The sequence below is a fragment of the Homo sapiens genome, chromosome Y (genome assembly GCF_000001405.40).
Source record: "Homo sapiens chromosome Y, GRCh38.p14 Primary Assembly".
Lineage (NCBI taxonomy): Eukaryota > Metazoa > Chordata > Mammalia > Primates > Hominidae > Homo > Homo sapiens.
In genome coordinates, this window is record NC_000024.10 from 23,207,324 (window position 1) to 23,233,739 (window position 26,416).

Consider the following 26,416-nt stretch of genomic DNA (forward strand, 5'->3'; position numbering starts at 1 on the left):
CACCATATTGGTCAGGCTGGTCTCGAACTCCTGACCTCAGGTGATCCACCCACCTCAGCCTCCCAAAGTGCTGGGATTACCGGCATGAGCCACCACACCCAGCCAGCTTCCTTCTTTATCTTCCTCCTCAGTCCCTCAGGCAAAGGTGCAGCGGTATTGGTGCCTCTTTGAAGTTCCACTTCAGTGTGATGAACTACAGTTACATTTATTTTCAAGAATTTCTTTTCCTAAACTGGAGAAATTTAAGCCATGAATCAGAGAGAAAGGGAAATCTCTGGTGTAAACATTAACCACTGAAACTTTCAATGTCTTTGAACCCGTCAACTCTGCTGGACCTCTTTCTAAAAAACAGATGAGAGTTGTTACTCAAGTCAGTTAGCCCTTTAGTACTTTCAAACATTTTTTTTTTAGGAGCTCAAGGAATTGCCAGAGAGAAGGAGAACTGTTAGCTCTGATTTCTAAAGAGCTTTCCTAAATATTGATTGCATTTTTTAGGCAATGCGACAATCTCAAAGCACTTTGCTAAGGGCGACATTGTGTTGAGGTCTAACTGTTAAATTTCTCATCTTGCCCCGATTCCCTTAATTTACAATGAGAATATCTGTAGAGAAATGAGGTGAGACATCAGGTGAGTAAATACACATTAACAGGGGCAGCATTTACAGATTAGCAGGGAAGGTTCTGATGACAACTTGATTAATGCAAAACTAAATTAATCAATCTCTGATCACCACAAAAAGGAGCGGGTGAAATGTTTCTTTTTTCCTCATGAAGGATTTTTTTTTTTTCTGTGACTTACGTGGCATTGACTGAAAAAAAAAAAAGTCCACAATTTCAAAACCCTTTTGGCAAAAACTTTATGTACCTCTAGCTAGCATTTCAGCCTGCATTAGCAAGTACAAGGAACTGAAAGGACTAAAGAAGAGAATACAGTCAAAGGAAAATCATGGAATAAAGAAAAACCAGGCACAGAGATAATATACATAATTTTTAAAAAAAGGAAGGAAGTGGAGGGAAACCTTTTTTGTTATTTCCAATACCTAGTCAGTCAACAAGTTTTATTTTGTTTTGTTCCGTTTTTAAGAGACAGGTCTCGTTCTGTCAGCTAGGCTGGAGTACGGTGGTGTTGTCATAGCTCACTGCAGTCTCAAATTCCTGGGCTCAAGGGATCCTCCCACCTCAGCCTCCCAAGAAGCTAATACTATGGGTTCATGCCACCATGTCCAGTTAATTTTGTTTTCATTTTTGTATTTTTTGTAGAGATGGGGTCTGATATGGTTAGGCTTTGTGTCCTCACCCAAATCTCATCATGAATTGTAATCCCCATAATCCCGAAATGTCAAGGGAGACACCAGGTGGCGGTAATTGAATCGTAGGGACAGCTTCCCCCATACCGTTCTAATGATAATGAGTTCTCATGAGATCTGATGGTTTTATGAGGGTGTCTTCCCCCTTCCCTTGGCAGTTTTTCCTGCTACCTTGTGAATAAGGTGCCTTGCCTCCCCTTCACCTTCCACCATGATTGTAAGTTTCCTGAGGCCTCTCCAGGCATGCTGAACTGTGAGTCAATTAGACCATTTTTCCTTTGTAAATTACTCAGTCTTGGGCAGTTATTTATAGCAGTATGAAAATGGCCTAATACAGTAAGTTGGTATGACTGAGAGTGGGGTGCTGCTATAAAGATATCCAAGAATGTGGAAGCATCTTTGGAACGGGGTAACAGGCGGAGGTTGGAACAGTTTGGAGGGCTCAGAAGAAGACAAGAAAATGAGGGAAAATTTGGAACTTCCTAGAGACTTGTTGAATGTCTTTCACCAAAATGCTGATAATGATATAGACAATGAAGTCCAGGCTGATGTGGTCTCAGATGGAGATGAGGAACTTGTTGGGAAGCAGAATAAAGGTGACTATTGCTATAATTTAGCAAAGAGACTGGGAGCATTTTGCACCTACCCTAGAGATCTGTGGAACTTTGAGCTTGAAGGAGAAGATTTAGGGTATCTGGTGGAAGAAATTTCTCAGCAGCAATGTGTTCAAGAATTGACTTGGATGCTCCTAAAATCACTCAGTTTTATGCACTCATAAAGAGATGGTTTGGAATTGGAACTTATGTTTAAAAGTGAAATGGAGTGTAAAAGTTTTGAAAATTTGTAACCTCATGATGTGACAGAAAAGAAAGAAAAACCCATTTTCTGTTGAGAAATTTGAGCTGGCTTCAGAAATTTGCATAAGTAACAAGGAACCAAATGATAGTCACCAAGACAGTGGGGAAGATGTCTCCAGGGCATGCCAGAGAACTTCATAGCAGCCCCTCTTATTACAGACCTGGAGGCCTAGGGGGAAAAAATGGTTTCATGGGCTGGGCACAGGGCCTTGCTGCTTTGTGCAGTCTTGGGACTTGGTGCCATGCATCCCAGCCATGGGTAAAAGGGGATAACACAGAGCTCAGGCTATTGCTTCAGAGGCTGCAAGCCCCAAGCCTTGGCATCTCCCATGTGCTGTTGAGCCTGTGGGTGCACAGAAGCCAAGAAGTTAGGTTTAGGAACCTCTGCCTAGATTTCAGAGGATGCATGACAATGCCTGCATGTCTAGGGATCTGCCCCAGAATGGCACTGTGCTCCTGGAAAATACAAAATACATTCAATGCCAGCCTGTGAAAGCAGCCAGGAAGGGGGTTGTACTCTGCAAACCACAGGGGTGGAGCGCCTAAGGCCATGGGAACCCATCTCTTGTATCAGCATGATCTAGATATGAGACATGAAGTCAAAGGAGATCACTGCAGAGCTTAAGATTTGGCTGCCCTGAAGATTTCAGACTTTGCATGGGGTCTGCTGCACCTTCATTTTAGCCAATTTCACCCATTTGGAATGGGTGTATTTACTCAATGCCTGTACCCTCATTGTATCTAGGAAGTTACTAACTTACTTTTGATTTTACAGGCTCATACGTGAGACTTGCCTTGTCTCAGGTGAGACTTTGAACTTGGACTTTTGGGTGAAATGTTGGAACCTGGACCCAATGCTAGCTAGAGGTACATAAAGTTTTTGCCAAAAGGGTTTTGAAATTGTGGACTTTTTTTTTTTCAGTCAATGCCACGTAAGTCACAGAAAAAAAAAAATCCTTCATGAGGAAAAAAGAAACATTTCACCCGCTCCTTTTTGTGGTGATCAGAGATTGATTAATTTAGTTTTGCATTAATCAAGTTGTCATCAGAACCTTCCCTGCTAATCTGTAAATGCTGCCCCTGTTAATGTGTATTTACTCACCTGATGTCTCACCTCATTTCTCTACAGATATTCTCATTGTAAATTAAGGGAATCGGGGCAAGATGAGAAATTTAACAGTTAGACCTCAACACAATGTCGCCCTTAGCAAAGTGCTTTGAGATTGTCGCATTGCCTAAAAAATGCAATCAATATTTAGGAAAGCTCTTTAGAAATCAGAGCTAACAGTTCTCCTTCTCTCTGGCAATTCCTTGAGCTCCTAAAAAAAAAATGTTTGAAAGTACTAAAGGGCTAACTGACTTGAGTAACAACTCTCATCTGTTTTTTAGAAAGAGGTCCAGCAGAGTTGACGGGTTCAAAGACATTGAAAGTTTCAGTGGTTAATGTTTACACCAGAGATTTCCCTTTCTCTCTGATTCATGGCTTAAATTTCTCCAGTTTAGGAAAAGAAATTCTTGAAAATAAATGTAACTGTAGTTCATCACACTGAAGTGGAACTTCAAAGAGGCACCAATACCGCTGCACCTTTGCCTGAGGGACTGAGGAGGAAGATAAAGAAGGAAGCTGGCTGGGTGTGGTGGCTCATGCCGGTAATCCCAGCACTTTGGGAGGCTGAGGTGGGTGGATCACCTGAGGTCAGGAGTTCGAGACCAGCCTGACCAATATGGTGAAGCCTCATCTGTACTAAAACTACAAAAATTAGCCAGGCGTGGTGGTGTGTGCCTGTAGTCCCAGCTACACTGGACGCTGAGGCAGGAGAATCAGTTTAACCTGGGAGGCAGAGGTTGCAGTGAGCCAAGATCGCGCCACTGCACACCAGTCTGGGCAACAGAGCCAGACTCTGCCTGAAAACAAAAGAAAACAAAACAACAAACAAACAAACAAACAAAAAAATGAAAGAAGCCAGATTACCACAAAACAATATGATAAAGACAAGCAACTCAAATGAAAAATGACCGGAGGCTATGAACAGGTCTCTCAGCAATGAGGAATCCAAACAGTCAACAAACAGTAGAAAAAAGTTTAACTCCATGAGCAATCAGGGAAAACCAAAGTAAAATGAAAATGAGATGCCACTTCTTGACCATCAGGTTGGCAAATTAAAGAGCAGTGATATCAATATTGGAAAGTGAATAGACAAATGAAGACTCTAACTCACAAATGGTGGAGTGTAAATTGGTACATACTGGCACAACACTTCAAAGGGCAATTTTCTGATATCTATTAAAATTTGAAATGTGCATATCCATGACCCGACAGATATATCTCTTGGCGTTCACCCCCAGAAAAAATAAATACTCATTTGGCTCCAATGAGAGAGGTTCATTGTATATTATTAATAACTACGACAAAGCACAAGTGACCTAAATGTCCATTGACCAGGGAATGGCTAATAATGGTGGCATATCCATATTATGTAAAATTATGCCAAAGTTAAAAGGAATTAAGTATATATATATGTGCTGACATTAGAAATTTCTGAGTAACTGGGTGTGATGGTGTACCCCCATAGTCCCAGCTACTCATAGGCTGAGGTGGGAGGATCACTTGAACCCAGGAGTTCCAGGCCAGCCTGGGCAATACAGCAAGACCTCATTTCTAAAAAAGAAAAAAAATCTACCTGTTAATGTAGGTATTTCTGAGTCATGTTCTTGGAGGAAAAAAATCAAGTTACATACATTTTAATAGCATTTTTGTTCAAGAACATATACCCCAAATAATATATATTCCCTCTATATACCCTCTAAGTATAAATATATAGTGTAAGCATACATTTTCTACAATATGTATACATACACATAGTACTTATTATATGAATATAATTTCTCTATTACAAGTATAATAAAAATGCCACATATTTTATGTTAGTAAATATGTTCTGTAAGTTCAAATATCAAATGTTCCCTATAAGTGTATAAAAGGAAACATCTAGAAAAACATCTGAAAGGATTTACACCAAACTACCCATCTCTGGGAATGGATCTGGGATGTAGAGCTGGTGGTCAAAAGGTAACTTAAGCCTACCTGAATGTTTTTAGTATTTTAAAGAAAGGGGCACATATTATCTATTACTCGTATTGTCAAAAATGGATAAGAAACAAAAAATGAATGTAGAAAGAATAAAACTAAGGAAATGAAGGTTAGCATGATTAGGGATGAGGAAAGGAAGAAGAGTGAGTTATACCAGCTTTTTCTCTCTGCTTTCTCCACAAGTGTTCAACTTGTGATTTGCAAGAGTTTGCTCAGTAGTGATGCCTCCTGATGCAGAAAAAGCAGTTTCAAAGCAACTGGGAGAAGTATGTGTGTGAGTAGGCAGTCAGTGGTGTAGAGATGAGATTGATTCCAACATTTGAAAAAAGTACTGAAAGATTTGTTAACAGGCAAAATTCAGAAGGAAATGTGGAAATTTTACTTTTGTTAAGCAGATAGGCTCCTCAAGGGCCAATTGTTTTGGAGCAATTCATTAGTGTAGATAGAAGTATTATCTGTTCAGGCTGCTATAGTAAAAGCAATACTCCACAAAACAATAGTACATGAACATGATTTATCCAAGTTTGTTGCTACTTTGTAACAAGGATTGTCTTTCCTCTAGTCTCCAATAACATGTTCCTCACGTCAGAATGGTCTTTACTGTCTATATTTCTACTAAGTCTCTTCACAACTACTTAGGTACTCTCTAAGAAGAGTCAAGTTTTCTCTACAGCTCTCCTTTTCTCCTTCTGAACCCTCATCAGAATCACCCTTTATGGCCTGGTCTGTTCACAGCAGTGTAGCATTTTTCTAGGATACATGTCAAAACTCTTCCAGCCTCTACCCATTACCCATTTACAAAACTGATTCCATAGTTTTAGGCATTTATTATAGCAGCACCCCTCTCCCAGTACTACCTTTCTTAATCTGTTCAGGCTCTTATAATAACAATACCTGAACCTGGATGGCTTATAAACAACAGAAATTTGTATCTCACAGTTTTGGAGACTGGCAAGTCCAAGACCAAGGTGTCAGCACGGTGAGGTTCTGGTGAGGACACTTTTCTGGGGTGCAGACTGCCAACTTCTTGCTGTATTCTTACATGGTAGAAGGAGTAACTAAGCTCCCCGAGTCCTCTTTTACAAGGGCATCAATCCCATTCACCAAAGCTCTGGCCTCATGACATAATTCGTCTCCCAAAGGCTCCACTTCCTAATACCATCATTCATTCACGAACGCTCTGCCCTTAGGACCTAATTCATCTCCCAAAGGCTCCGCTTCCTGATACCATCACCCCAGGGACTAGAGTTTCAACATATGTACAGGTGAGAGGTTGAGTGGGGGCAAACATTCAGACCATAGTGTTGTTTAGGGCTTAGATTTGTGGTTTTGCTTCTTTGTTTAGCTACTCTCATGGGAACAAGACATTTAATACATAAATTTGTCCCACTATATTACCCCTTTCTTCCTCCATGTAGTTTGCTAATATAGCATACTGGTTGAGAACTCAGATGTTAAAGTCTGACTGGGTTTAAATCACAGCTCTGATGCCTACCAACTATGATCTCAGGCAAGTTATCCAACCTCTGTGTACCTCTACTTCCTTCTCCATAAAATTGAGATAATAATAGCACCTAGTATTGTTATGAGGATTAGATGAACTAGAAGTAAAATGATTACAATAATGCCTGGTACATAGTATGCACCGTATCAGTATCAGTGCCTTGTGTCAATATTATTACTTTTAACAAACTGATAATTTTTCAGTTAAATATTTAATATTTAGAATCAAGAGGCCATCATGAAGATTATGCACGTTTGCTTCAGACCAATCCCAAAATTCAGACAATCTGCTTAGGAGATTTAAGTTTTGACTGAATAAACTATTATTGCAGGTAGTAGGATTAAAGGTGAACAGGCAGGGCTTAAGCCAATGTTGCTCAGTTGATAGACATATCTGTAAGTATGCACAAGTGTACACGAGATGTGTGTTGCTATGCTGGACCACACGAATACAGGTCCAACAGAAGATGAGGCACCATACCCTGAGATTTAAATGGAATTGGTTTAAACATCTGCTAACATGCAATGGGAATAGCACATATTTCTTTCTATCTTGCTGGGCATACTGAGCTCATGATTTTTGCTTTTCCAGGTCACTTTTGGCTGTAAGCTACTGTTCCTACTGAATTATTTCATCTACATATCATCTTGCTGTGGATCAGCATGCTGTCCCTGACCCATGTTGCAACGGACAGTGTCCTTGACACTCCTCACAAAATACCGCTGACATAAGGCATTTGTGTGTGTACTGGAAGCTTGGTAAAGGTTGGACACTATAGCAGGACAGTATGCTACATAATCACAGTAAAGAGTCATAAATCTTTTAGCTGTTAACCTTCTTTTTAAAAGCAGTCTGGCTAACCTCACTCATCACCTAATGTAGTCAAGATGCTTCGTTGCAAGCAATAGTCACAGAAGTTTTGGCTGGTTTAAACAGGAGAACAACTTATTAAAATTTATTGGATAACTAGCCCACAGAATCTCAAAATGAACCAAAGAGCCAGGTTGTCTCCAGGAATGACACACAAAACCGTGCCGCAGAACTTGTCCAGTGAAGAAACCTCAGCTGTCACCACTGGGCACTGAGTTACATCGTGGCTTGCACAACTGACAGTAGTGGCCACCGCAGCTCTAACCGATACCATGGCTGCCGCTGCTGCTGTTGATACTCTTCTCCAGAAAGAATTCTCTGCAGTCCCTTCTTTACAGCATCAGCAGTCCCCTCTTCAAAATTTGGGATGGGTGCATCTCACTGCTGTTGTGTAGGTTACCTGCCCAAGATGTAGCTGCAAGAAAGGCTGAGAAAGTAGACTATTTATTTATAAGGTGAAGCATTCTCAGATCCAGGGGGGGTGCAACTTGTTTATGACAAGCGCTCTCGATGGCAATGTTTCTTGACCGTCAGTCAGTGTGCACATGAGCCATTTGGAGATCTTGTTAAAATGCAGACTCTGATTCAGTAGGTTTGGCATGGGACCTGAGATTTTACAGCACCCGCGTGATGTGAAGTTGCTGATCTGAGGATTACATACACTGAGTAGCAAGCCTCCATAGCACCAATAGCACCAATTTTCAAATTTGGCCCCATATTGGAGTAACAAGACAAACATTTCCTTAAAAAAAATATTGACTTCTGAGCCCTGCCCTCAGCTGATTTAGTTGGTTTGGGGTGAGGCACGGACATACAAGTTTTTTAAATTTGTTTAAAAAATAGTTAAATTTATTTAAACAATAAATATAATTTTTAAAATTATATTTAAAAAATATAAATTATTTAAAACATATATAAAAAAAAGTTTCTAATATACTCAGACATCTTTCACTGCAGGCTCCAACTTCTTGTCTCTTTGCAAGGTTAATTTCATTTTTCTGAGAAGGAGTCTCACTGTGTCACCCAGGCTGGAATGCAGTGGGGGCAATCTTGGCTCACTGCAACCGCCACCTCCCAGACTCAAATGATCCTCCCACCTCAGCCTCCTGAGGAGCAGGGACCACAGCTGCACACTGCCACACCCAGCTAATTTTTGGTATTTTTGGTAGAGACAGGGTTTTCCCATGTTCCCCAGACTGGTCTCAAACACCTGAACTTGGGCGATCCATCGGGCTCAGCCTCCCAAAGTGTGAGAATTACAGGTGTGAGCAAATAAGCCAACCTGCAAGGTTACTTCTTTTCTCCAGCTTCCAGGACTTCCACTTCTCCCCCCACCCCCTTGCTTGGTTTCTCCCCTTGTAATTTGATTATTCTCATTTATTAGGCAGAACAATTTGAAACTCTACTCTTTAGTCCCTTGGGCCTAACTTTGCATATCTAAAGCTCTATGGAGTTCTGCTAGTCCAGTGTTTCCCAAAACCATGTTACCTGTTGACCTGGCAGAATGTGGTATGAAGTGACGCATAAACAAACAGTGTTTTAAATTTGAATCTTTCTGTATTTATTTTAATGTCACCGTTTAAAATGTAGCTAAAACAGTACATCTGATCTTGCAAATGTTATTGTTTAGGACAATAAGTTAATTTTAAAAACAGGTAAATAATAATAGACGCTCAGGGCAGATAAAACAAAAATCTTGAAAATGATTTGCAAGTGATTGAAATTCAAGTGTGCCTATACAAACGTAGCCTTCTTTCCAAAGCCGTAGGCTTTAGGAGCACAGAAGAACTGGCAGAGGTGTTCAAAGACACCAGCATTTTTTCTTCTCCCCCAGCATATAGGAAGAAATATAGAGATCTATTTCTGAGCTGATACGAATTATGCCACTAATCTTACTTAACACATTGAAATGGATACAATCAGTTTTGATCCTAAAAATTTTTTAAGAGATTTCATAAGATTTCAAGAAAACAGCACCAGCCTTTAAAAAATTCATGATCTAAAGAAAATTCTAAGAATCACTTATGAAATATAAAATACAAATAATGTTTGATCCCTTGACCAGCTAACCTTTAACAAGAAAATGGGTGAAACTGTTCAGAACTGTTAAGAACTAATACACAAATCCAGAAAGTGTTAAAACTCCTAAGCAGGCAAAATTTTTAAAAACTCCACACCTACTTACATCATTGTGAAAGTTCAGAACACCAAAGAAAAACTGATCTTACACAGCAAAAAGACTGACAGCAGATTTCTCAGTTGCAATAGAAACTAGAAGATAACAGAGTAATATGCTCAATATTCTGAGAGGGAAAATACTTTTAAACCTAGAATTATATATTCAGTATAATTATGAAACAACAGGGAAAAATCAAAATATTTTAGGTAGAAAAAAACCCAAGAGTTTACCACATCACACTGTCACACAAGGAAATTATAAAGAATTTGCTACAGGCGTAAGGAAAATGATTCAGAAGGCAGATCTGAGATATGCAAAGAAATGGTAAGCAAAATGTTACTACATATGTGGATGGGTCTAAAAAAACGATGTCTAATTTATATGGTGAAACCAGGATAGAGCTAAAATAGTGAATAACATATAAACTGAGAGAGGGGAGGGTGTCCAAAGCTAAAACATCCTAAAGGCCTTTGTATTATTCAAGAGGAGAGTAAAGCTATGTATTAGCTTTATATTTTAAGTTTACATTTTCAAATAGTAAAACAGTCACTTAAAAATATAGACTGCATTACTCCAAATAAGTTGAGGAAAAAAATAACGTGACAAAAAGAAAAAACACAAAACAAAACACATACACACGTGAGCATATTACTGTTATCTTCTAGTTTCTATTGCTACTGAGAAGCTTCTTCTGTAAGTTTTAACTTTCTTGTTTGTATGCCATTCTTATTCAAGATAAGTAGTGTTGTATAAATTTTTACTGTGAGCGTGTCCTTAAAGGATCATTTTCTTTCAGCCTAGGTTGTAGAAGGATTCATCCAAGTCGGCTTTATGTTTGCTTCTGCCAGGCATTCTAGATGCCCCATGTCTAGGATCTCTTTAGGCAGGAGAGAGGGTGATGGTGTAGGAGGACCCATTTCTTGGCTTGCAGATTCCAATAATATGTCACAGATTTAAACCCCAAACTTTGATGAAATGCAGGTCTAGGGTTTTAAAATATAATGAGAGTTAAATACGTATTTTCTTCATCCAGAGATGGGGCAAGCTTCCTCATCTGCTCGTTCATGGGTGATTTATATTTTCCCCACTCCATCCTTTTCCTAAGGATTTTAGGGACAATGGCTTTTTGCAGAGTACTCAGTTCCAGCTCCCACCTTGAGCCCTTACCTCCTGCCCCTAAACATCCAGACCTCAAGTTAGAGAGAGTAACATTTTGCCCACACCTAGGAGGACCAATCCTTCTGGTTTCCTTAGGGATGCAGGAATTTCTCAGTGCTAAAACCAGTAAGTCCTGGGCAAACGAGTATGACTGGCTGCCCTACAACCCAGCCCCCATATCCAGGGCAGGAGAACAATCATTTGAACAATTCATTGCTCTGGTTTTCAGTTGATTTTTGGTTCTTGGAATTTCCCTTCTTTTTTTATGGGCTTATCTGCCTATTGGAAACAAAACGTTATTTTTTTTTATCCCGCATTACTAGATGTCAGTAGTGAGACACGTCTCACGTTATAGCAGTCCAGCATTTTGCCAGTTCAAAAAGTCACATTTTAATTCTTTCCGTCAGTACAGAAGTGAAGTTTGAGGATAAAGGTCATAGCCACGTAGCCCTGTGTGCATAACCAGGTGCTGGAGTGGTCCCCAAAGTTATGTGATTGGCTCCACCACCTGCCCCACAGCTTGCTCCCGCTCTAGGCCCTTGCTCTGATCTTGAGAATGTTCTGTAAGTCTCTAGGCAGGCCTAGCGTCTTTCTGTAAGTCCTAGAAGGTGAAGTCTTCCATTAAAATGTAAAATCCCTGAGCAAAGAGATATTATTTTATTCTGTTCACTCCTGCATCTGCAGTACCTGGTAATCACAGGCACTCAGTAACTATCTCTTGAAAGAAGGAACATCCTGAATGTCAAAACTGGCGTTCCCTCCCATCCAACCCCTTATATCTCAAACTTGACAGAAAGGAGTCCAAGTTTCTGGCCTGTTGATGTCTCCCTCCGTTTTCCACAGACTTGCTACTATTTATTTCTGCAGGTACTTTAAAAGATTTTGGGGTGGGTGTGACGCTAACAGTGATTGTGCTAAACCTGTGCATTCCGGAAGCCATTTTGAAACTACAGCCCAGACACATTATCATTTTTTAAAACTATACCATATATTTCAGTATGCATACTTATTTCAAGGGTGTTTTGGAGGCGGTGCCTGCCTGGAACCCAGGCACTGGCCAGCACACACGCACGGCATACCCTGCGTACTCTACGCACCCACAGCGTGGGGGACGGCCGTCATCCCCCGCAGGCCTCCACCCTCCAGGGGGCGGGTGTGCTGCCACCCATTGGCTCAGGCCGATACCACGCGCCCCGATACCCGGCACAGGAGCCACCTCCCAGAGCCCCGCAGTCCATGCCTCAGTCGGCCTGCGCTCCTCAGCCTGGCGGTTCTACCTCCGAGGGTTCGCCCGCCCTTGGTTTTCCTTACACCTTAGCCTTTGGCTCCTTTGACCACTCGAAGCCCCACAGCGTGTTCCAGCGGACTTCACCAGCAGACCCAGAAGTGGTGGGTGAAACACTGCCTCTGTTCCTCCTTGAGCCTGTCGGGAGCTGCTGCCTGCCACCACCATGGTGAGTTGAAGGAAAGACCTGAGGGGCAAGGCCTGTGGGGTCTTCACCGGTGGGTGAAACCAGGCTCCGCCTTATCCTCGGTTTTCCTGTTTCGGGGCCACCCCGCTGAATGCATTAGGAGCCGTGGCCCGCAGGGTGGGGTGAGGCGGCCTGGCAGCAGCGCGGCCTATACAGAGAGGCAGGCACAGAAGTGGCGGGACAGCAAGCATGGCGTGGGTCCCCAGGACGCCCTGCCTCACAGTTCACTTACAAGGGCCACGGCCTCCTTGCGGAACCCATTTCCTGCCCCGGGTTCTCTCCTGGCAGCGGTTTGGGGTGCGGGTTCCCCACCCCCACGCGTCCCCACCCCCACTCCTAGGCGCCCTTTCCCCCTTCCCCCACTCCCACGCGCCCCCACCCCGCCAACTTCACTTCTGACGCTCTCCTGGTGGCTCCGCAAGATGGCGGCGGGCCTGCTGAGAGACTTGCCTCCTTGGATTGGGAGGGCCGGAACTTCTTCAGGAAGTGGTTCCCTCCTGGTCCTTGTACTACTGGGTGGGGTGGGTTGGTGGGGTTTGTGGGGGCCTGAGTGTGGCGGGTGGGGCGGCCTGAAGGCGCGGCCCACTAGCTGAGGGGGCTGGGTGGGAAGTGCCTCTGATCCTTTCGCGGCTAGCAGCTGCTGGGGGCTTGGCTGATGGCGGCTGGCTGATGGCGGCTCCCTACTGCGGCGGCGACAGGCACAAAAGCTCACTCGACGCCATCTTTGTGGCAAGAGGTTGGCTTCGGCAGTTACCATTGAGAATTTTAGAATTTTTAAACTCCAGGCACAATCTTTCCCCCGTAGATAAACCAGGAAACTTTGACTAAATGTCCAATTGGTAGATAATGTTGGGTGTGCATTTCTGTGAGTTTGGTAAATGCCCAGCGTTCATTGAGCGCCATCACAGATGTGGCTCTGAATACGCTGACCAAACACTGAGTCACAAACACGCGTGTTACATGCTGTGTGCGTATCTGCATTGATAATTTTGTCTTTTCGTTTTTGGAAATAAAAGGAGGAGTTTTATACACGGTTTATATTACCATGTATAAACATTAAAAATACATAAGCAACTATAATGTGTAATAAGTGTGCAACATGTTACCCATGCTAATGAAAAAATCACCTTGAGTTATAAGTTATAATTATTTACAATAATACTTTTCATTTTTAGAGGTAGAGGGAAGAAATGCTTATCGTTTCATTAGGTTTTTTTCCTGATTATAAAAGTAGTGTAGTATATTTACTCATTTGAAAACAATCACACTAAGAAAATAGCAGTCCATGTTAATACCAACACATAAAACCACAGTTAAGTTTTGATACATGAATGCCTTTCCAACTTATTTTTATGCATGTATTGCAATTGCATATAGATAGGCCAGCTTTTACAAAAGTTACATAGTGCTGCTTAATACTATTTTACAACTGGCAGCTTTCAATTAATGTGGGTATTATTCTGAAGATAACTTTAATTTTCAGTATATCATGTTAAAAATTGTACTGTTGTTTTACTGAATTCCCTTATGATGAATACTTTTTCAGTATTAAAACTATCATGGGCTGGGCGCGGTGGCTCACGCCTGTAATCCCAACACTTTGGGAGACTGAGGCGGGCGGATCACTTGAGGTCAGGATTTCGAGAGCAGCCCGATTAACATGGTGAAACCCCATCTCTACTAAAAATACGAAAAATTAGCCAGGCGTGGTGGCGTGCACTTGTAATCCCAGCTACTCGGGAGGCTGAGGCAGGAGAATCATTTGAACCTGGGAAGCAGGTTGCAGTGAGCTGAGATGGTGCCACTGCAGTCCAGCCTAGGCAACAAAGGGAGACTCAGTCTCAAAACAAAATTTAAAAAATGCCATGAATGTCCTTGTGTAAATATCTTGGCACACTTGTACTTAATTATTAATTCCTTGAGATTAATTGCTGTAAGTGGCATTGCTGGGTGGAAGTGCTTTTGCCCTTTCATAACAATTTTAAATTATGCTCCTCATTAGTATAGTGGTGAGTATCCCCCTGTCAAATTATGATACACCTTTTCCAAGGTGCTCTTGGTAAAGCATGTATCAGTATTTTCCCACTGATGGTGTGTAGAGTGATCTCTGTTGCACACCCTTTCTAATGAACGGTATTAGGATTTTGTACATCGTCAGCCTAATAGCTGGATAATGTTACACTATGTTGATGTGCACTTTTTTGAATCATCAGTGAAGTTGAGCATTGATCATTAGCTTTTTAAATTTCCTTTTTTAATTTTATTTTTCTTACTGACTCATAAAAACCCTGTATTAATATTCGCATTTGTCATACATAGTGGGAAAATATATATAGTAGTAATGATGAGGTGCCATGGTGCCCTTACCTCATTCCTATTTTCAGTGGAGATGGCTCTAGTATTTCACTGTAAGCTTCATGATAGGGTAGAATTAGATTGATAGAAAGCAAGAATCCTCTATTTCTATTTTACTTAGGTTTTAAAAAAATTTAAAAATGAATGCTGTATTTTATTAAATACTTTTTCAATGACGAATTAAAGTAACGTATCCTGCGAATGCAGTATTCTTGCATTGCCAATATAAACTATATTCTTTCCTACTGGAATTTTGCATTTGTGTTGAGGAGAGGGTTGGACCATCTTGATGAGGCTTTGTTGCTTATGTGTTGTTAACCTTTGTAAAATGCATTGAGAAGTACTTTTTTCCTCTTTGAAAATTGAAGAAAAGAGTTTACATTTCTTAATCTCTTCTTCTATCTTTACTTCAGGTTTCTGGCGTCTGTGTGCACCTCTCTGTGACACACCACATACACCCAAGTTACCTGTTTCTTTACAAGTTGAAAAAACTCCCAGGGAAACTAAGCCAAATACCATTGGGTGTTCTTTTTCAAGATTGTTTGGGAAGAATTAAAATTTCTGTACAAGTTGACCATGTCGTTGATTTCAAAATTTATTCCTATAGAGTTTGAGCATAACATTCTTTTATAACCACGGGCCACAACCCATTTTTCAGGTCTCATATATTTTTGCTTTTTCTTGCTTAGTTTTGCAAGGATTGTGTATTGCTTGAATTTCATCCTTGCCACCCACCACTCCCCGGGACTCTGTTCTTGGATTAACTTCTGATTTTCACGTCATATTTTCTTAATTTTAGCATTCTCTTTATTTGCTCCTCTTCCTATTGCTGTGAATGTAACTTTGATGACTACAAATGATAGGCTTTTTCCTGGCCAGTTTATGTAAATAACAATTTGCTTACATGTTCACATAGTAATTGCATTAGATAGTACTGGCAGAGGAGCTGACATGGCAGGAGTTTAATGATAATTTTTTCCAGCTTTTAGCTGTCTTTGTCACTTGATTGTCCGCATATAACAAGGAATATGTTTGCTAGAAATAGCAATGAGAGTTGTGATTATGACGGTCTTGAAGCTCACCCCTGTTTACTATTGCAACATTTCTCATTTGAAAATTCAACAACTCACTTGAAGATACGGTTAAGAAAATTACTTCTTGTGTTTTGTGTTTTTTTGTTTGTTTGTTTGTTTTATTTTATTTTATTTTTTTGAGACGGAGTCTCGCTCTGTCGCCCAGGCCGGACTGCGGACTGCAGTGGCGCAATCTCGGCTCACTGCAAGCTCCGCTTCCCGGGTTCACGCCATTCTCCTGCCTCAGCCTCCCGAGTAGCTGGGACTACAGGCGCCCGCCACCGCGCCCGGCTAATTTTTTGTATTTTTAGTAGAGACGGGGTTTCACCTTGTTAGCCAGGATGGTCTCGATCTCCTGACCTCATGATCCACCCGCCTCGGCCTCCCAAACTGCTGGGATTACAGGCGTGAGCCACCGCGCCCGGCCAAGAAAATTACTTCTTTAATGCAGTTTGTTTTCAGGATGCCATTGACGGTTACGATGGTACTTTCTTTCAAACTAAACTTTTGCTTATCCGAAGCATTCATTTATATTTTTGGCCGTAGTTTAAAACTAACCAAAGTTTGTCTGTTGATTGTGGATTTTTATATATACATTATATAATTATGTATAAGTACACAGTCGGAATTGAACAATCCCTGCTACTCGAGCCATGGTAAAAGTGAAGTACGTTGCAGAAAACGAGGTACATTGCTTACCTTGTTAGCTTTGAGCGCCACCTGCTGGCTGAGGACTAGGACATGATCATTACTTCCTTCATTTAAAGTATTATGACGCTGTTAGAGAGATTCAGTGAATTTTATATGTACGATTCCAGTTAAGCAGGCAGCCGGTTTGTAAGATCCAAGCTAAAGTCAAACTTCTTAATAATATCAAATGCCTTTTTTCTTCTTTACCAAACTACGGTTATTTCGAGTATCCAAATGAGTATGAGAATCAGAAGAGACACCCGAGGTCTTTTCCGGCCATTCGTTTTCAAGCAAGGAAACTGAAACCGAGGTCATGAAAAGATTCACTTTAGTGAGCGATGGAAATCAGGTTCTTCCCAAAGAAGAATTTTCCTCTTCAATTCTTGTGGCACGGTGACAAGGTTTCTTAACCAGACCCTTTTCAAATTGTGCACCAAATACTTCCTTATGGTAGGAGGCTGTCTTTACACTGTAGGATGCGCAGTAGTGTGCCTGGCCTTCGGCCCATCAGATTCCAGGAATACATCTCAGTTGTGACAGCCAATCTCTAAACGTCGCTAAATGCCCCTGGGGCTCAAAAATCTTGCCCAGTTGAGAATCAGTGCATTTCCGTAACCTCTCGTAGTCTGACACAGTTTTCTGCCAGATGTTACATTTCTAAATTAAAATACATCCAAACACTATGGTGCAGAGACGATACTGTAATATAGCTTGTTTATCAAGGAAACACATACCCAAAGTTCATCCACAAATCAAGGAGGAATTGGAAAGGAGAAAAAGAAACTACAAGAATTTCAGAATTTGTTTTGTTTTGTTTTATTCTGTTTGGGATTTCTGAATGAACTGAGAAGGAATTGGTAAATTGTCTATAGGGAAGGGAGATCTAATCAGGTTCCCAGTAGTTCAAGGTAGTGCAGCTTAATGTCATTTGGAAAAAACAATAATGTGAGACATTTTTGAAAGGAAGAACTTTAAAAATAGTGTTTTAAATTTTTCTTTCACATCATTGTCATGAAATAACGCTGTTAAAGGAAAGAATTAGGAATTAGTTACAAACCCAAAATAGCAAGTACAAGCACGAAAGAATAGAGAAATGCAGTAACCTCGGCTTTAGTTGATTTGACAATTTAGATTTGATCTCTAGTAAAGCTGTGTAGAATCAGTAACTTCTAGGCTCTAATTAACAAAGCAGGAACCCTCCTTTCTTATTAACTTCTGTAACATTACTGTGTTCTAAAAGATAACGCAGTTTCTTTTGTCTTTTGTTTTCTTTCAGACAGGTATATGTGTAATAGCTTTCTCTTTTGCAGCATTTTGTACTGACATTTGTGAAGTCAACAGCACTTCACCAATGATTTTTAAATTAATGATGTGTCATAGTTTCCTGATGTGTCAATTAGTTCTTAATTAAAATTTTTTTCAAAATAAGTCAGCTAAATAGTGAAGCCAAAAAAGAAACTTGAAAACAAATCGGCTGAAAATAAATTCAAATAACAGGACACTAACTTACATTGGCACACCACTTGTACCACTTTATACGTACAAAATGAATTCACAGATGTGATCTCATGTCATTCTCAAAGCACTTTGCCCACAGATACATAGCTGGCAAGTAGGTGGCTTATAACCACTTACCTGTAAGGGACATAAACCTAGATCTCCTGACTGAATTAATTTTTGTTTCACTATGCTATATTGTTTCTCCAACGTATATATTACTTATGAATACTACTTCAGAAAATTTTACATTAACCTTAGAGTCTGCTGTGGAAAGAATAAAGACAGTTCTGATCAGAATCTAGAAAATTAGTGAGTTATATGTATGTGTTTTTTTATCTGAAAATAAAGATGGTATCATTTATATCTATCAGCCCACTGTGAAAATCAGAATTATCAGTCAGACTGATTCCGTGTTACTCAGGAAGAAAAATGTTATTTCAAAAGATGCTTTGAACACCCTAGCGTTAGGGAAGAGGATTGTAACAAATTGGTTTAAAACGTTGAGGCTTATTTTCTTTTTGGTGGGGCTTTTTTTTTTTTTTTTTTTTTTTAAGATTTATCTTTAGTCTACTCAGTAAAGTGAAAAGTTGTTTATGAATATAGAACAGGATGATTTTAATAACTTTAATTTTTACAAATCTAAACTCTCTAGTTTTGGGTGTCTTTTTTAACTACTTCACGTAGTACTTTCACAAATACTAAATGGGTATTCTTCCACAGCATTATACAAGACTCGGTGATGAGCGGCACTAGGTTTAAGAAAGTACTGTATCCTTCGGTTAAAATTCCATGCTGATGTACTCTGATAAGTTTAAATCCTGAGCCTGAACTGAGCTGCACTGGTGACTGAATTACAATGAAAGTAATTTATATAAAATATACTTAAAATACAAAAATGGTATTTCACATTATGTATGGGTTTTGCCTGCATACGTAATTATGATGTCTACTTTCCAAATTACAGTCTGCTGCAAATCCTGAGACTCCAAACTCAACCATCTCCAGAGAGGCCAGCACCCAGTCTTCATCAGCTGCAGCTAGCCAAGGCTGGGTGTTACCAGAAGGCAAAATCGTGCCAAACACTGTTTTTGTTGGTGGAATTGATGCTAGGGTATTGTATTCGTACCTCATTTTTACCTTAACATACATCATGAACAATGGGATGTGGGCCCTGTTACAAACTTAAATTTTTTTTTGTACTTCCTGGAGGTTTAGAATTGCTTTTAGGTTTGACCCATAGGTACTAAAAATATCTTTGACAAAGGGCTGCTGGTCATTCGGGGATAAATGGGGGAGAAATTTCCACCTCATGGTAGTAAAATTGTAGTAAAGTTGAAATTTTTGAATGCTGAATTTTTACTCTGACGTTCAGTTCTTTTCCATAGATGGATGAAACTGAGATTGGAAGCTGCTTTGGTAGATACGGTTCAGTGAAAGAAGTGAAGATAATCACGAATCGAACTGGTGTGTCCAAAGGGTGAGTAATTTTATCAAAAATATGTGAACTCCAGTCACCTATTCTATAAGTATCAGACAAGACTTCAAAACTGATATTCTGACCCTTGTATAAATGCAATATTCTGCAGTGTTAATTTCTTTCACGTAGGGGATAAAAGGCTATTACCAGTTCTTCTATTTGACCATTTTTCTAATGTTTGTATTTAAATGTCTCCAGTTTCTATTTCATACAGATGAGTTAATCAGTTTTCTCAAATAATTGTTTTCTTCATACACTGCAGAGCATCTTAAATTTTAACCACCTTGTCTTAGACAGTAAGTTAAACTCAGGTTCACAGATATGAATTCTTTGCTAATCAATAAAGTTGTCACACTGCCCTAATCCTAGCACATTTTGACATAGTTCTGCTTAAGAAAAAGTGGTATTTGTAGAGGATCTGTCATGTACATCTTAGCAAATACTTATCATGGTATATTATTCGTCTTTTGTCATGATCACTTCTGTATATAGAATAGTAGACCTTCTGAACCACGTACTGTATGATGGTGATTTTATGCTTCATTTGTCTGCCTTTATAGCTATGGATTTGTTTCGTTTGTTAATGACGTGGATGTCCAGAAGATAGTAGGAGTAAGTAATCTAATAGAAAAATCTCTTATTTATCTTATTGCTACAACGTTTAGTGTCAGTGATACACTCGGACTTGTGTAAAATTTGGGGAAAGACACACTTCCTGTTCAAAATCCAAACTCAGAGTAACCTCACGTAGCTTGTTTGATCCTGTTTATTTTTGACTGGACACCTAGTTTCATGAACTACAGACAGGAAGGGTTGGAGACAGGGTGATGGAAAGTTTTTGATCAACTTTCACTTGATGCCTCTTGACACTGATTAGAGTAGTAAGGGTAAGTAAGGTAGCTTCGTGATGACAAATTTTAATTTGGTGCGTAGTTGTCCCCGATCTTCTATGATGATAGGTACTTTAGAAGACTTCAGGTGTTTACCCAAGTCTTGGAAGCTAACACTTGAAAATTGATTCTAGTTTTGTTAACGGTTCTATTTTCAGTCACAGATACATTTCCATGGTAAAAAGCTGAAGCTGGGCCCTGCAATCAGGAAACAAAAGTTATGTGAGTAGGAAAAGAAATGGTTCTTTTCTGACCCGTGTAGCTTTTCAAATAACTAAAAATAGGCTTTTTTCTTCTTGCTTTTTAAAAAGGTGCTCGTCATGTGCAGCCACGTCCTTTGGTAGTTAATCCTCCTCCTCCACCACAGTTTCAGAACGTCTGGCGGAATCCAAACACTGAAACCTACCTGCAGCCCCAAATCACGCCGAATCCTGTAACTCAGCACGTTCAGGTAAGAACTGCTTATGTTCCTGTTCTCTTGTTTATTCTAGTCATCCTTCCCTCTGTGGAATTGTATCTACACTTTCCATAGTAAGTGGCAATAGAATCCCTGTTTGAACAGTGTGAGTAACGGGAAATCTGTTACTTTTGTTAGAAATTTCTTATTCTTCGTGTTCGTCATTTGAGCTAAGAATCTTCTGTATACTTGGCGAAGCTTTCTCTTAGAAATGACCTCTGTAGACACATGAACAAATCTCTTCCTATCTCTGCCTCTTTCACCTCATATAACTAGTTCCTAAAGTATTTGGAAGCAGCCCTCCTTATGTGTCTGCCTAGTTTATTGTTCTCTAAGGTTAGCAGTTAACCTAGCTATTCTTTACTTGCAGTGATTTCCAGATGCCTCCTCATATAAATTGCTTGACTTCTGGGTATATTCTGGTTCTGGGATGGGTAGATTTCTGATCTCTTTTGCTCTATCTAGAAATCCCGTGAGTTTCTGGCACGTAATTTCTCTGATGCTGGTTGCTTTGATATTTAAAGTAGGATTTGACATACTCTTGTCACTTACTGGTGATAAATAACGTTTAGTTTGTTCTTCGTTCATTTTATTTATGTGTTAGTTTTTAAAAAGAGGTTTTCTTCGATGGAAAATAAAGTAACCAAATAGTAGTGAATTAGTTCTTCAGTGTCTCTCATTTGTTGACATTTTCCATGTACTTGAAACGTGTGGGGTACACCTCTTCTTCTTTTTCCTTCTCTGAGCAATGGCTAGAAGAAAAGCCCTACTTGTTTGTAGCATTTACTGTGAGCCATTACTGAATGTGGGTGTATTGATGAATGATGCTACCTGTATGTTTTTAATCAGTAAGTATTTATTGAAAAGTAGAAGACATTATACTGTCTCTTTTCCAGCTGTGGCTTATTTACTGCCCTTAATTTGTGGAAAAGAAGTACAGAGAAAGCCGTAACATCTGCCGAAGAACTACAGTATTACCCTATAATATCATCAGATAGCAAACAGTCTAGAAGTATTTTGCCAAAGAAAGAGCAAATGTATTATTTTAACTTACGTTGAAATCTATCTTAATAGAGCCTTATCAGCAGCGTAAGAAATAACTTCTGGGTGGGCATAAGTACACAGTATAAATATGGTAGACTTTGGCCGGTGCAACAGTCACTTGTTTTGTCATTTGTCTCTTCCCCCTCCCCGCCCAAAGGGTAGCACTTGACAGAGAATATTTGTTTCTTCATGTCAGTCATTCATTTAGAAATCTGTATTTCTGTATGTAGAAAAATAATTACCATTTCAAGGTTTTTCGTATTTTTGTTATTTTGGGAATGATATTTCTTTCTAGTTAAAGAAAATGTTTTACCGTATTAATCCATTCTTTCTGTAAACTTTATTTTCAGGCTTATTCTGCTTATCCACATTCACCAGGTCAGGTCATCACTGGATGTCAGTTGCTTGTATATAATTATCAGGTAATTGAAGAGGGAGTAAGATGATTTACTTTCAGCTACTATTGAGGCCTCAACTTGCTTATACAAATTGCTTGAATAGGTTGTCCTTTTAAACTAGTGAACTGTACCTAAAATTTAAGAAATCACTTAGAATTAGTGTAATGAGGACCTCTGTTTTATTTAGAAGTGATGAAATAAGATTTTGACAGGAGGGTACTTAGCAATAACTTTTCCGTAGAACAATTTCTGAGATTTGGTGTTCCCTTCTTTGTTTCAGCATGTATTTTGTTATCTTTGCTGTCAAAGAGCTGAAACATCCAGACTGACTTTCCTGAATCTTGTAGAGATACAGAGTGAAATAAAAGCTTTACCGAATTCTTAGAGCACAGAATTTCAGTTGTATTTTTATTTTAGCTTGCTGCTTCATGATAGCAGTTCTCTGGGTCTCTTTTCAATGGTACAACTATTATCTGTGACCCATAATTGTATCTGTGGTAACAAATTCAAAGAATTAATATCTTTGAGGGTTCCACAATTCTGTTTCCATAAAATTGGGAAAAAGGTGAGGTTTTCTGTGTAGAAGTAACAACAAGAACTTTGGGGATTAGAAACCTAAAGTACTTCTTTTTTCTATTCTGTTTCTTTTATTATAACAAAGGAGCCATCATGATAAATACTCCAATATTATGTAACTCATGTGTTTTTGAAAACGTGTAGGAGTATTTAAATAATTGTGGTTACTTTTTTTTTTTTTTTTTTTTTTTTAATTTAAGATTCCACTGCACTGGCCTGTTGGGGCGCAAAGGAGTTATGTTGTTCCTCCGGTAAAGCGAATGAGTGAAACATATACCTGCTCTTCTTTCTTGATTTTTTGTGTGGCACATATGCCTATAAATATTTTTAATGATTCTTTATATTGATGTGTTAACGTTTTGTTACTTTCTTTTTAACCCAATTATAATCTCCCATGGGAGAAACAGTGCCTTTTTCTCTCTCAGGTTTTTGTATGCTTAAGCAATGGCTTCTCCAAATTATGACAAGTGTTCAGTTACTTGTTGATAGATTATTTAATCTAAGAAAGGTAGTCCTAATGTGGCTTTATCTAAGAAAGGTAGTATTAATTTGGCTTTAGAATAGCATGTATCTGATGAGAATCTGCATCTGGATGTACCAACCATAAAAAATTTCATAAAAGAAACAGAAATGTTTTGCTGTTAATTACTCTTAAATAAGAATAGGATTAAAAAGAGTATTACCTCTATAACACCTGAGCTGCTTTCCCCCATATAACTAAAATATTTAAAAGCAGTTCTCCTCATGTGTCTGCCTGCTTTATTCTTCTCTAAGTTTAGCAGTTAATCCAGGTATTCTTTATTTGAAATGATTTCCAGATGCCTCTGCATATTAAATTGCTGACTTCCAGATATATTCTGGTTCTGGAATGGGTAGATTTCTGATATGTTTTAGGTATCTGTAAATCCCGCAAGTTTCTGGCATGTAGTGTCTCTGATCCTTGTTAGTTTGCTATTTAAAGTAGATTTGACATATTCTGTCACTTACTGGTGGTAAATAACGTTTATTTTCTTCTTAGTTCATTTTATTTATATCTTAGTTTAAAAGACATTTTCTTTGATGGAAAATAAAGTAACAGAATAGTAGTGAAGTAGTTATATTCAGTGTTTCTCATTTGTTGACATTTTCCCTGTACTTGAAACATGTACGGTATACCTCATCTTCTTTTTCCTTCTGTGAACAATGGCTGGAATAAAAGCCCTACTTCTATCATTTACTGTGAGCCATTACTGAATCTGGGTGTATTGATGCATGCTGCTTACCTATATGTGTTGAAACAATAAGTATTTATTGAAACATATGAGACATTATACTGTCTCTTTTCCAGTATTGGATTCTATACTGCACTTAGTTTTTCAACATGAAGTACAGAAAACGCCGTAAATTCTGCAGAACTACGTATTACCTTATAATATTGTCAAATACACATCAGTCTGGAAGCATTTTTACAGGGAAATAGCAAATGTATTAATTTAACTTACATTGAACTCTGTCTTAATGCAGCCTTATCACCAGTGCAAGAAATAACTTCTGGGTGGGCATAAGTACACAATATAAGTAAGGTTAACTTTGCCTGGTGTCATAGCCAGTTCTTTTGACATTTGTCTGTTCCCCCTCCACGCCCAACCATAGCACTTGACCGAGAATAATACGTTCTTCATAAATCAGTCAGTCACTTACAATTCTACATTGTTGCAGATAGAAAAATAATTAGTATTTCGAAATTTTTCATAGTTTTGTTATATTGGGACTAATTCTTCCTAATTAAAAATAATGTTTTAACGTATTAATTCATTCTTTCTGTATAATTTATTTTCAGGAATATCCTACTTATCCCGATTCAGCATTTCAGGTCACCACTGGATATCAGTTGCCTGTATATAATTATCAGGTAATGTAAGAGGGAGTAAAATGATTTGCTTTCAGGTATTATTGGGGCCTTTAACTTTTTTAGACAAATTTCCTGAACAGTTGGTCATTTTAAACTAGTGAAGTGTACCTAAAATTTAAGGAAACACTTAGAATTAGTGTAGAATGAAGACATCTGTCTTATTTAGAAGTAATGAAGTAGTATTTTGAGAGGAATATACCTGGCAATAACATTTCTGTAGAAGAGATTTCTGAGATGTGGTGTTCTCTCCTTTACTTCTGGATGTAGTTTTCATCTTTACTGTGAAATAGCTGAATGAAACATCCAAACTGACTTTCATGAATTTTCTTAGGGAGATAGAGTGAAATAAATTTCTGCTGCACTTTTCAGAGCACAGAATCCCAATTACATTTTCATTTTAGCTGGCTGTTTGAAGATAGTAATTCTCTGGATCTCTTTTCATAGATACAAGTATATCTATGACCCATAATTATATCTATGGTAATAAACTGAAAGAGGTAGTATCTTGGAGGTTTCCACATTGCCAACTCCTGAAAATTTGGAGAAAGATGAAGTTTCAAATATAAAAGTAAGAAGAATGTCATGGACTAGAAACATGATGTACTTAAGTTTTCCTTTCTGTTACTTTTATTATAATAAAAAAGGAGACAGCAGGATAAGGACTTCAATATTGTGTTTCTCATGAGTTTTTGAAAATGTGTAGGAATACTTTAATAGTTTTGGTGTCCTTTTTTTTTTTTTTTTTTTTTTTTTTAAGATGCCACCATAGGGGCCTGTTGGGGAGCAAAGGGATTCCGTTCTTGACGTTAAGTGAATTAGCCAAACATAGACTTCCTGTTCATTCTTGATTTTTTTCCATGTCCTATATGCCTATAAATATTTTTAAGTGATTCTTTATATTAATTTTTTTGTCGTTGTTACTTTCTTGTTAACCCGATTATGAACTCCCATGGGAGCAAGAGTGCCTTTTTTGCCCTCAGGTTTTTATGTGCCTAAGCAATGGCAGGTCCACATAATGATAGACTATATAATCACAGAAAAGTAGTATTCACTTGACTTTAGAATTATCACGTATCTGCCAATAATCTGCCTCTGGCTTTACCAGCAATAGAAAATTTATAGAAGAGAAACAGAATTGCTTTGCTGTTAATGACGCTTAAATAAGAACAGGAGTGAACGAGAGTATTACCTCCAAATCACCGGAGCTGCTTTCCCCCTTATAAGCAGTTCCTAAAGTGAATGAAAGCAGCTCTCCTTATGTGTCTGCCTACTTTATTCTTCGGTAAGTTTAGCAGTTCATCTAGCTATCCTTTATTTGAAATGATTTCCAGATGCCTCCTCATATAAATTGCTGACTTCTGGATATTTCCTGGTTCTGGAATGGGTAGATTTCTGATGTGGTTTAGTATATATATGTAAACCCCGTGAGCTTCTGGCATCTAATTTCTCTGATCCTGGTTACATTGATATTTAAAGTAGGGTTTGACATACTCTGTCACCTACTGTTGATAAATAACGTTTATATTCTTCTTAGTTCATTTTATTGACGTGTTAGCTTTAAAGACATTTTCTTTGACGGAAAATGAAGTAACAAAATAATAGTGAAATAGTTATGCAGTGTCTCTAA

At 38.9% G+C, this 26,416-nt stretch overlaps 1 protein-coding gene across 7 annotated transcripts in view; it reads left to right on the plus strand.

Moving 5' to 3' along the window:
* DAZ2 (deleted in azoospermia 2) overlaps positions 12,134-26,416 on the plus strand; it is a 71,900-nt gene continuing 57,617 nt past the window's right edge. For 3 of the 7 annotated variants that reach the window (NM_020363.3, NM_001005785.2, NM_001005786.2), the window contains exons 1-8: positions 12,134-12,420; positions 19,021-19,167; positions 19,442-19,533; positions 20,094-20,145; positions 20,582-20,645; positions 20,735-20,874; positions 22,275-22,346; positions 24,718-24,789. In NM_020363.3, the coding sequence (NP_065096.2) occupies positions 12,418-12,420; positions 19,021-19,167; positions 19,442-19,533; positions 20,094-20,145; positions 20,582-20,645; positions 20,735-20,874; positions 22,275-22,346; positions 24,718-24,789 (642 nt within the window). In that variant the 5' untranslated portion in view covers positions 12,134-12,417. The remainder of the gene's footprint in view (positions 12,421-19,020; positions 19,168-19,441; positions 19,534-20,093; positions 20,146-20,581; positions 20,646-20,734; positions 20,875-22,274; positions 22,347-24,717; positions 24,790-26,416) is intronic. The other 4 variants (NM_001389303.1, NM_001388494.1, NM_001388493.1 and 1 more) reach the window with 2 other exon arrangements.